The sequence below is a fragment of the Homo sapiens genome, chromosome 2, assembly GCF_000001405.40.
Source record: "Homo sapiens chromosome 2, GRCh38.p14 Primary Assembly".
Lineage (NCBI taxonomy): Eukaryota > Metazoa > Chordata > Mammalia > Primates > Hominidae > Homo > Homo sapiens.
The window spans coordinates 214,137,507-214,150,584 of NC_000002.12; the positions used below are offsets into that span (position 1 = coordinate 214,137,507).

Genomic DNA, 13,078 nt, shown 5'->3' on the forward strand with positions numbered 1-13,078 from the left:
CATCTATGTGACAAATTTGTATCTTATTGACTATTTAATGTATCCTGATGGGGAAATATTTTCTATATTTTTAAACTTTTGTGATATACTCTAGTAGTTTTGAGAAAATAAAATGTAATACAGTGGATAAAATCTTGGACTCTGCAGTTAACCATACATGGGCTTGAATCCACACTCCAAATCATTCTAACTAGGTAATTTTAGGGAAGTGACTTTATCTCTTTAAGCATTATTTTCCTCATTTGTAAAATACAATTGTTGCACATAAAAAATAATCCTATAAATATTGAGCATATGTCATGGCAAAAACTGTTAATTTTAGTTGTCAATTACTACATCCACCAGTAATACAAATCTGATTGTATTGCAGTTTTATCAACATCAATGCTGTCATTAAAAATCTATTCTAATTTGATAGAAAAAAAGGACATGTTAATTAAAAAACCCCAAATCAAACTAATTTAAGCAAAATTAGGGTGTTCATTGGCTCTATAGAGGAGGGAAAGATCACTCCCACTGCCTTTTTATTCTTTTCTGGGCTCTTTGGCTGGTCCAGGAACTGAACTGATATAACAGATGAACAGGAGAAAAGCACACAAGTTTTATTAATTTTACATTTACATGAGGATTTTCATCAGAGAGCAAAGTCCAAAGGAATGGCCAAAGGAAAATGCTTTTATATTTTTTAGACAAAAAATATAAATTTGTAAAGAAATTACACAACAAGGGGACCTGGCTAGGGTAGTAAGTTCTAGGGGAGATACTGGGAGATACATGAGAGGTGGAAAGCTAGTGGAAGATAAGGGTTATTTGGGGGAGATTATTTATTCAGGCCTATTTCAAGGCTAAGTCCCAGTATCTGGTGATAAGAATTCTTCTCACGCCCTGGTACTGGGAAAGCACCCCTTGCAAAAGAATATTTAAAGCCTGCTGCATGCAAGAAAAGACAATTCAGCCATTCTTTTTCTGAAACTATAATTTCTCCAATGTTTTTATCTCAAAATAGTCAATATACCAATTTGGCATATTTGAGGACCATACATCCTTTACTTCTTCAGCTCACAAACCTAGACTTCAGACTGAGCAGTTGGCAACTGGCATTTAGATTTAGCAGGAACCAAAACTCAAATACCACCTGACTTCCTGAATGGTCTTACTCTTATTAGTTTCTTTATTGTACTAGACCTGAGCATCAGAAGGAAGATTACACATGTATATGCATATTACACATTTTCTGAAACCTTTTATTCAGAGAGGAAATAGCTTATCTCTCTCACATTAGTTTGGAAAATACAGGGAGGTAATCTTATTGCTCCTACCTGAGCCAGATTCCTACCCCTTAAATAATGACTCCATCCAGGGAGATGAATTTCTATGAGGACACCAGCTACAGTGTAGGAAATGAGAGGCAGTTCTTCAAAAAAAGTGAGATAGCAAACCTATGACTGCTAGAGTGATCTTGGGCTGGGTAACCAAGCTAAGTGGATCTACTCCAAATAAAACACTGTTTGAATTTATTTCACTCAACTATAGTCCTAGGGTCAGTGAAAAGGTTTTCAGGTGTTTAATCATTCTTTCTTCTGTCTAGGTCTCATTTCAAGAGCAATATTTGTATTGTCTTAGTGGTTTTCCTCTTTATTTCTTGTATTTCTTTTTGTTATATTTAAGACAATTTTTTCAAAGTTTATTGCCAGTTGACTTTTAAATTTATTTTGTTCTGGAAATGCCATTTTGCTGAAGAATTAACAGTGAACATTAAGTCCTTCAGAGCATTTGGTGTGGTTTCTTTAATCTCTACCATATTTTTAATTATCCCCTTTTCCCTGTTGTTGCTTAATTATGACTTTTTTCTTTGTGATTATTTTTGTCTGTTTTTGACAAACCTTTCAATTTGTCTGTCTACACTTTTCAAAGAGCGGCTTTTGATTTTGTTGATGTTATCTCTTATTATTTTAATAACTTTAATTTTGCTTCTCATTCATCATATATTAATTATTTCTACCTTTTCTATTCTGTAGAAAAGAGCGTCTTCAATTTAATTCTAATATATTTATTTTAAATTTCGCTTTAAAAAATGCATCTGAAATTACAAATTTTTATTAATAATGGCTTCAGCTTCCTTCAACAAATATAATATGAATTCCTTCATTTGGATTAATTCTGAGCACTGAACTCTGAGCTTTTCTTCCTGCTCAAATTCCTTTCTAATGGCCTGGGTAAAGTCAAGCCTACACGCCTTAACATCTTGTTAAATAGGGCTTTTTTGAGGCCTGTTTGAAGCCCAGTATACTGTGGCTTACTTTCCAACCTGACTCTAGCATAGCGTCACATGACAGATAACAGACCCTTTATCTTAACCTAAGCATTTGTTTTTACTGAGTCCAACTATTTAGACAAAGCTTAACTCTTTCAACCAATTGCTAACTAAAAAATCCCAAAACCCACCTATGACTTATAAGGCTCTACTTGAAGATGTCCTGCCATCTTGGGCCAAACCAATATGTATCTCCCATGTACTGGTTTATTATATTACCTGAAATTCCTGTCTCCCTGAAATGTATAAAACCAAACTGTAACCTGATCGCCTCAGGCACACTTTTACAAGATTTCTGAGACTGTATTTCCCCAGCATGTGGTTACTCTCATGGGCTCAGAATAAATCTCTTTAAATATTTTGGCAGAGTTTCCTTTTTCTCTCTCTTTTTTTTTTGTTTTGTTTGTCACCAGTTCCAAACTTGTAATTTATTTTGTGTTTTTTTCTTTTAGCTTCCAAACTTTTTTTTAAACCTTTGGTGTAATTTTTAGTTTCTAATTTAATTGCATCATCGTCATAAAATGTGGCCTTTATAACACTTCTTTGTCATTTCTTGAAACTTATTTTGTGGCTTATCACATACTTCACATATATTTGATGATACTATATATTTGGCAAATACTGTTTTCCATTTTAGATCAAGCTTTATTTTTTGAAGGGGTGGTAAAATGTTGTATATCTTTCCTTTTTTGCATTATCTATCATTCTGATGGACTTGTATTACAATCTTCCCCATTATTTGGGAAAATAATTTATTTTTATACTCATGATAACTTTTAAAATATTTTAAAACGTCATTTGTCTTTACATATAAATTTATTAGTTATACCTTGTGGCTAGAGTATTCCCTTTATTATTCTTTAGTAATAGACTCTAGTAATTTCTTTTCTGTAATTATTTTTTTCTGACACTGATACTATTCTACAAGCTTCTTAGGAATTAGCATTTAATGATTTTATTCCTTTATTTTCACTCTTGAATATTTTGGGAATTTTGTTATTGTTTCTGCTTGTTTTTAATGTTTCTCTTGTAAATTGCACATAGTTGTATTCTTTATTATTTAAACTATTTTAGTTGTTTCTTACTTTTAATTGTTAAGTATATCCCATTGGTGGGGGGGGGGGGGTGGGGGGTGGGGGGATGTGACAGAGAGAGAGATATATATTTCTGTATTGGTATTGCCATAACAATAACTTGTATTTTCTGCTAATCTTGTTTTATTTGCTTCTTTTTAACTTATTTCCTGAATTTTGCTTAAGATAAGATTTAGATTAGGTTAGGGTTAGAATTAGAGTTAGGGTTTGGATTCAGCATTTTGTCTTTGATTTTAACTAAATCAACTTTGATTAAAAATTACTGAATTTTTGCCTGGGCACGGTGGCTCATGCCCGTAATCCCAGCACTTTGGGAGGCCAAGGTAGGTGGATCACAAGGCCAGGAGATCAAGACCATCCTTGCCAACATGGTGAAACTCCGTCTCTACTAAAAATACAAAAATTAGCCAGGCACGGTGGCATGTGCCTGTAATCCCAGCTACTCAGGAGGCTGAGGCAGGAGAATCACCTGAACCCAGGAGGCAGAGGTTGCAATGAGCCCAGATCAGGCCACTGCACTCCAGCCCGGGTGACAGAGTGAGACTCGGCCTCAAAAAAAAAAAAACCAAAAAAATTACTGATTTTTTAAATATTTGTGCTCACCATTATATATTTTGACCAATGCTATACTTAGGATTTTACTTTTTCATGGTGAAATACAAACATTAATACTTCTTTCCATAAGATATTTAAACATTTGTATTCATTAAATGAAAATGCATTCAATCCAAAGTGATATTTAACTAAAGCATAGAATTTTAGGTTGAGGTTTTTTCCCCCGGTACAATGAGGACATTATCCCACTGGTTCTAATATCTACTTAAAAAATTAATTGAAATGTCTTTAAAATATTTTAAATAGGTAATCTGTCATTTTTCACTTGTAGGTAAATATCTCTTCGTCCATAATATCCCACATTTTTCATTACACTCTGTTTAGGTGCAGTTTTATTTTTATGCATTATACTCAATATTTGGAGCGCAATTTTAGTCTTGATATTATATTTTTCTTCAATTCTGGCAAAGTTTCAGCCATTACACCTTTGGATACTGCTGTTCTGACTGTCTTTACATTATCTTCTTTTGGAATGCTTATAAAACATATATTGGAATATGTAACTCCACCCCCACCCTCAAGTCTCTTAATGGTTTACATGCTTTTATCTTTCAATCTCTGTGTCTACAATCTAGCTAAATTTTCCAGATTGTGATATTCCAATCCACTCACTTTCTTTTCAACTTTGTCTAGAATAGAGTACATCCTATCTATAGAGCCCTATTTCTTCAATGACTAACATTTTAATTCTCTTGGATTTCTCAAGTCATTTTAGATTGTGTTTGTTTCATTTCTTTTTTATTTAATGAGTAATAGCTCTTTATTCAAATCTTTGAGACTCACACTTTCAAATCTTTGAGACTCACACTTTAAAATCTTTTTCAGTCTTTCATAATTTTAATCTATACAGATCACTTTTATCTTCCAATTATTGACTATATTAGCTTTAGATCTCCTTGCATGTTATGGAAAATTTTTGGTAGCTTCTTTTGAGTAAGTAAAAGGTCTGATCATCTCTTTTAACTCCCTTTATTTCTTTTCCTCTTTCTTTGTGCTTACCCTTCCATAACTTTCAGTATTGTAACTATCTCCTTTGCCCCAGGTCTCCCAGGCCCCTAGTTCCAGGGTGACCTAGGATAGGCTTTACGTTTAATGTAGATGAAATCTGCCCTCTGGTTTTGAAACCACAGATCCAGTCACTGAGTGTGCTACTTGGTAAAGGTCCAGGTGGCAAGACTGTGTGTTAACTCCAGAGTCCTTAAATGTATAGATTAACAAAAATTGTAGCTTCAAACAACATTAGCCGGCAACTTTTGTCAGCTTCATTTTGTCAGGAAATCTTACCCCAGCCATGGTTTTAGCAGTAAGTTGATGTTTATCTTCCATCTGACACAAAGCTCTTTTAGTCTCTTTATTATTCCACACAAGCTGAATGACCAGTCTGCTTCCAAACCCAAAACCCAGAGCCTATGTTTTCATCCCTATTCTCTATTTTGTGTTTCTGTTCTGTTTTTACTTAGTGCATAGTATGCCTGTCATCCTGTCCTCAAACTCTTCAAGGCCTCATACTTTTAAAAATCGTTTTTTAGCCTCACTCTGTCTTTGAGACATGGTACAGCTTAGTGACTCTAAAGCCACATGGCCTTAAATCCTGGCCATTTCTTTTTTAACTGTGTGAACTGTAGGCAACTTAATTAAGCTTTCTGTGGCTCAATTTCCTCATTCATAAAATGGAGGTGATCACCTATTCCATCATAGTTTTGGGTTTTTTTTTTTTTTTTTTTTTGGTTTCCTGATATATGTATATATCTGTATACAAATGCTTGGAACCCTGAGTGACACATAGTAATTACCCAATTAGTGTTAGCTATTACTAGTTTTTAATTGTCTCATTTCATAGGTATTTTTTAAGACCATCTTGACCAGGGTCCTTCCATAAATTATTTAATTCTTCTAGAATATATTTAGTTTTATATTATGAGGTAGAATCACAGTTTGACTCATCATATAGTTGTGAGAGTCAGCTGTGACATTATTTACAGGTATGTTATAAGTGATAAAGAATTATGCAAATGTACGATTTTGTGTCTTATGATCACAAAAACATTTTTTTCTGAGTTTTAGCTCATTTAAATTTCTATATTTGTGAAAAAATTCTTTTAAATTACATACAATCAACATTGATTACTTTCTACTTTCTTTATATTTATTCATTCAATTAGTGATTTAAAATCAAATACCTAACATGTAGCAGGAACTGTGCTGGGTGCTAGAGATTCAGTGTTACAGAAAGAGCTCCAGACCTAAATGGAAACTTCTTTGAGAGCTTTCCATGCAAACACATTTAGTACCTTCCCATTCTCAGTTTCAGTACTTGTACCAGTGACATATTTTAAAGTCTCATGAGACTGGGCACAGTAGCTCATGCTTATAATCCCAGCACTTCGGCAGGTCAAGGTGGGAGGATCACATGAGGCCACAGGTTTGAGACCAGCCTGAGCAACATAGCAAGACCCTGTCTATAAAAAAAATTTAAAAATTAGCTGGGGGTGTTGACAAACACCTGTAGTTTCAACTACTTGGGAGGCTGACGTGGAAGGATCACCTGAGCCCAGGAGTTTGAGATTACAATATTGAACTGCAGTCCACCCTGGGCAACAGAACAAGATCCTATCTCAAAAATAAGATTTAAAAGTAAAGTAAAATAAAATGAATTAAAAGCTCATGAAATAAATAGTAATATGTTTGGCAATGATATTTGAATAATATATAACTGTTATCTTTGAGGAGTTTAATTATTTGTAGTTATTCACATTTAAAGTATTAAAGGATTATAAAAATACACAAAAGCTTTAATAAATGACGTAACTCCCCATTTAATCATTGTACATGTGTATTATATACTTTAATGTAACCACAGTTTGGCATAAATTTTTCCATGTTTTACATTGGTTCTATAATTGTTGTTTTAATGGCTTTATAATTATTTATCTAAGATATTCATATAGTCATTCTACAATTATCTATTGAACATGAACTATATTTTATTCTAGGTCACTAGAATGTACTGCTAAACAAACAAAACAAAGTTCCTTCACTTAGTGTTTACAACATTCTCATGTATACATAGTTGATGTAAAATCATTCATTTAATTTTTCTAGTATGCAGTATAACTCTTTGACAACAGAATATTATATATATTCTATTGTTCAGCCTTCAGGAATCACTGAAGAAAGGAAACAATGTCCTGGGCCTAAAATGCTTTTATTGTTCAGTAAATTGACTTTCCAAAAGAAAAAGGTATTTATATATATAACATACGTGTATATGAAACCCAGCAAGTTGAACCAAGAAACTACTTAGCTGACTCATCAGGTTGAAGGTTCAAACTACAATCAAATTGGACCTGAGTCTTCCAAAATAGGTTAATATCCTATTTCTTTTAGAGATGCAATATAAAGACATAGGGACTTTCATAGAAAAAATTATGTTACTATATAATATTTCTTAACCTGAGCACTAGCCCCGTAATCCTAAAAGTTAGGATAATGCCCAAGTTTGAAATATTTGTTTTAAAAAATTATACAATGCCATAAGATATGTTTATATTAAGGAATACTATTGGTTTATAAAATAGTATTTTAATTATTTATTTAAATTATTAATGACCTCATTAACATTCCAGTTTTCTCCTTTTCTTTCTTAGTTTTACCATATATAAATACATTTGGAACCTCTGTGCAGAGAGATAGTAGTTCAGTCTGCTTGTCTCTCTGCATCTGTTGATAACAAGTTTACATAACAGTTGCCTCAAGCAGTTTTCTGAACCCACCACAGCCCAAGGTTTACTTCTTCCATATTAGATTATTATTGCAAATTTCACTTGTTTCCATTTTGTATTTATAAATAATGCTACATTGGTTTTTTCATAATACATTTTTCTTTAATTTATAATAAAGTTCAGAAGTAATAGTAAAAGTTTCAGAAGTTTGGACATTTTTGTGATACTTGATACCTATTGCTAAATTTTTCTCTTATAAATTCTCAGCAGCCTAGATGAAGCTAGATTGATCTTATGTTATTCTACTCTCTAATTTATTATTAACTTCATGTCTATATGGTTTTCTCATTATAGGATCTTTAATTTGGTGGTGGGAGGCTTAACAGAGGCAATCAGGAGTGGTGACTATTCATTTTCATCTCAGCTGTACCCTTTGTCCACTTGGCTAAATTCTACTGGCATAATTAAATTCATTTGAGTCTTATGACCACAAAGCATTTTTTTGGGCTTCGGCTCAGTTAATATTTCTATATTTTTGAAACAAATTATTTTAAATCACATAGAGTCAACGTTGATTACTCTTCATTCCCTTTGTATTCATTCATTCATTCAATTGTTTATTCAAAGACCAAATGTCTAACACGTAGTAAGAACTATACTGGATGCTGGAGATGCAGTGTTACAAAAACAATCATAGCTCTCAATCTGAGCTTTCTGCACATCCACCTTCAGTAGCTTCCCATCCTCAGGATCAGTACTACTACCAATGATAACCAGAATTGCATTTTAGAGATTTCCAAACCTCTTGAGTCTTGACTTTCATTAAGATTGTCATGAAATCTCACCTATCTTTAAAAACATTTTCTTTGAAATATTTCTTAATTTACGTTAAATGCCTTAAACTATAGCTTGACTGTCATAAATTGTAGGTAAAATGACTTTTCCCTAGGTTGTCAACTAATCTCCTTCCCACATCTCTCCATCTCCACATCCCTCAAAACTCAAACTACACAGTTTGGATTAACAACATTCTAGTTTATTCTGTCTCGAGGAAGGAGATTGGCAGATGGCCCTCCAATTTTCCTGAAATGGGAGAAAGAAGAAGGATACAGGGCATTAGAATATTCTAAGTATTGATTCTGGATTCTCTGCCTCTTCCATTGCTTTCTGTCTTGTAAGTGATTCAGACCTATCAGGGTTGGAATTAATATTCACCTGCAAAACTGCTTTGGAAGGACTTGGACCAAAATAAAACTTTTAGGTAACCTTTGTGGAAGCATTACTCATCTATCAGCTTAACAAATACTTGGTTGAGCTCTGCTATGCTCCAAACACTGTAATAGACACTGCATCTGCCTCACTAGCTAACTGGATATATAGTTAAGCTGTTCTTCCGTTACCAAGTATCTTTCAGTTCTCAAATCTAAATGCAAACTTATTTCTATTACTTAAAATATTACCATATTTGGCTGGGCGCAGTGGCTCATACCTGTAATCCCAGCACTTTGGGAGGCCAAGGTGGGCAGATCATGAGGTCAGGAGATCAAGACCATCCTGGCTAACACAGTGAAACCCCGTCTCTACTAAAAATACAAAAAATTAGCCGGGTGTGGTGGCAGGCATCTGTGTAGTCCCAGCTACTCACGAGGCTGAGGCAGGAGAATGGCGTTAACCCGGGAGACGGACATTGCAGTGAGCCAAGATTGTGCCATTGCACTCCAGCTTGGGTGACAGAGCGAGACTCCATCTCAAAAAAAAAAAAAAAATTTTCATATTCATTTTACCATAATGCATACTTTGTCATGGCTTTTAAGTTTCTAAGGCAATGGAAAAAGTCTAGCTAAAGGATGTTAGTTATTCAAAATTGCTTGAAGTTGCTATGTACTAGTTTATTAATGAAGCATTTAGCACAGTACCTGGCTCATTAAAAGCATTTCATAAATATTGACTCACTTTCATATTATCAAACTATTGCACTTGATCATTTGACAGCAATAGAAGTTTCAAGTATTAAATGTAAAAATATTAAAACTATTTACCTACTCATTTTCACACAATAACAATGATGAAACTATTTTTTATTTTAAGTATACTTCCTCAAATTTTAATATTCAATGGGATAAAGTATACTTCAAGATTTTCTTTAATCCATAGACTCCAGACAATGAAAGAACATCAAGTCCATCCACCTGCCTGTGGCAAGAGGTGCATCCAGATTAAATTCCGATAAAAACTTACCTACTCTGTTCCCAAAATTGAAAAAAATTTCCATTCTGTGACTTCTCTCAGATCATTGAAAGCCCTTATATTTGGAAAGAATTCTTTCTAATTTCTAACATTAATATTCCTTGCCGATACTGAGAACTGTTCTTTCCTTTTCTGAAATGAAATTCACTGATTCCTCACAATTCTTATAATACATGTTTACATATTTGAGGGCATTCCAAGTTCTCCATGTTCCTTTTAAGTCATAAAAAAGATTAAGCATCTCATTTATTAGATTGGGGACAAGGCTGTTGTATTACTGTGCCAGTGACAACAGTTATAGAATTTTAAAACTAATTGCATTCATTGCATTACTGGTGTGTTTAGAGAAAAACAATGAGTCCACTTGAACTGTAATACAGGATGTACTATTTTTACAGAAAGAATAGAAATCAAGGAGTAAGTGAGAAAATATGTGAGCTAGTTCAAAATGATAAGGAAAATTATAGGATAATTAAGGTATTAACATTAACATTTTAAATAACGTAGGGAGAAAATGAGAGGATAGTTTTTAAGTTGACATTAAAAAATTTGAACTGCAGCTGAAAGGGAAACTGTACATCAAATGGGAAACAGTATATTGATGTTTTATAAACATAATTGATGATTTTAATGTGGCCAATACTCATTCAATTTGTGAGTGGACAAAGAAATTAAATGACCAGAATGATGAGAATGAGTGAAGACTATGAGTTGCTGGGGAGCAGAAACCCCTCTTATTCACCAGCATATCTCCAATTTCTGTCACAAAGTAGATGCTCAATAAACATTTCCTGAGAGACCAGCAGGAGGCGTGTAGACAGACCCTGGGCTCCAAACTGAACTGATGAGCCTGGGCCACTGCTACTATGCTGCAAAACTATCTCTCCCCACCTTCCATTGCCATGTCACTTGAATCCATTCACCCTTCCTTCTGTTTTCCTTCCCCTTTATCCAATTACCTTCTTCCTTGTTCCACTACATGTTACCAAAGCAAGCCCAACTATGTTTTCTGAGAATTTTGACTAACAGACTACAATAGGCACCATTTCATTGCCATCAACTTCACCTGGTCCCTGTCATTCTACCTGCTATGCGATATTCTTCTCTCACTGTGTCCATTTTACTTCCTACCTCTTTTTGTTTTTTCTCTATTTGAGGTATAAATTATCAATGCTAACTAACTGTGAGCATAAAAGCTGAGATATGCATGTGGTATAATTTTCCCACATTCACAGTTTTTATGTGTCACATATATCATATGCATTATATGATATATGTATATATATGCAAATTATGAGTGTACATGTTTTTGTTTTGTTACATCTTCTAATGTAGTTAAAATGAAAATGCTTGTCTGAAACGTTAACTCCAAAAATTTAGTGTAGGATTTTATATATTAAGAATATCATTTTAATAATTTTATGTCCAAAATAAAGTTATTAACAACTATTTCTTAGTTTAGAGGAATGTAATCTTATGGCTGTAATAAAACTGTAACACTTACCTTTTGTCTATAGGTTACTATATGTATTTGTATATATGTAGTGTGTGTGTGTATATATATATGTGTGTGTGTGTGTATATATATATATATATATACATACATACACATTTTATTTTTGTTTATCTTATATTTTGAAGGGTCACATGATAGCATCCTGTGATGCCTGTGGGGTTACAAAGCTGTGGGACTTTCGGAAGCTGTTACCAATTGTGTCCATCGATATAGGTCCAAGTCCTGGCAATGAGGTGAATTTTGATTCATCAGGTAGGATCATTTTTGTCTAATGTTTCTGACTAAGCCAATAACATTAATATTTGTTCTGAAACTATTTTGTTTCTCCTTAAATGTATGTATTTCTACGTAAATGTCTGTTCTTAATATTACATTATATTACATTACATTAAGATATATTTTATCATTACGTATAGCATGTCATATGAAAGAATTATATTCATATATTTAAAGTCAGAAATAATATAGGTGATAATGTGTACTAATCTAGATAGCATAGGTTTGTTAGCAGTGCCATGCAAAATATTCAAACCTCCATTCCTCAGAATCATCATCCAAGGTAAGCAAATTCGATTTTCTAAAGGCAAAATAGCTAACAGTAGAGAAGAACAAAAGTTTAGCAAAAATGAACCTGAAATATTTTTAGTGTAATAATTTAATGTTAAAAATTTAATGAATTACCCCATATTGTGTAGAGTTTACAACTAATTTGAGATAAACATTTATCTTATTGTTGCAATTATGTGCTGTGCATTCTATAATGTTATTATATTTAGTTTTTATTCCACAATGATATAAGTATTATCAATTAGATAAAATATTTTATCCTTGTTGATGAGGAATAGTGTAGCAGCTGATTTTATGAACCACACAATAATTCCAGTTGTCCATTTATAAGGTTAAAAATACAGTTGCATCTGCATCTTTAATGATAGAGTTTACTAAATAATGTATATATGTTATTGAATAATATATTTTTTCTTTGCTATTGTGATACATGTTTTAAACTATTTTAAGTTTTGAGAATATTTTGAATCTTTGAGCATTATTTGTGGTAAATCAAAGTTGTGGCGATAGCAAAAACTTGATTTTAGGTGAAGAAGTAAAGAACAAATAAGAAGAAAATATTTTATTGTTTTAAGATAGTCCACGTTTATTCTTTAGTCCAGAAAGTATGAATATACCAGGAGTAATTCTAGAGCCAGAAGATAATTGTGTGTTTCTTGGGACTGGTTTCATAATATTGCCATCACATATCTGAAATTTAGAAAATGGTAAGTTTGTCTTCTTAACAAACTTTAAGTTATGTTCCCATTACAGATTGGCATATGAACCACACTAGTAACAATGGCTTCTTTAAAAATGTTTTAGTAATATTCTTGTTAAGACATTTATGGTCTGCCAGAATTAAAAAAAGAAAACACTCTTCAAAATAGAAGTCTCAACTATGGGAATTTCATCTTATATTGCAAAAGCCTATTAAAGGGTCAATTTATAGTTTTTGGCATATATAATCTACATTGACACCATAGCTCTAAAGGAACTCTTACAGCTTTCACTTGATTTTCAT

General features: G+C 32.9%; 1 protein-coding gene across 15 annotated transcripts in view; it reads left to right on the plus strand.

Moving 5' to 3' along the window:
- Positions 1 to 13,078, plus strand: part of SPAG16 (sperm associated antigen 16) — a 1,126,038-nt gene that overhangs the window by 853,043 nt on the left and 259,917 nt on the right. For 14 of the 15 annotated variants that reach the window (NR_047659.2, NR_047660.2, XM_011511814.2 and 11 more), the window contains one exon: positions 11,634 to 11,760. Coding sequence is in view for 13 of the 15 variants with exons in the window: in XM_011511814.2 (XP_011510116.1) it covers positions 11,634 to 11,760 (127 nt within the window). In the remaining 2 variants the exon portion in view is untranslated. Of the gene's footprint in view, positions 1 to 11,633; positions 11,761 to 12,672; positions 12,702 to 13,078 lie in introns of those variants that run through there. The other variant, XM_011511818.3, reaches the window with a different exon arrangement.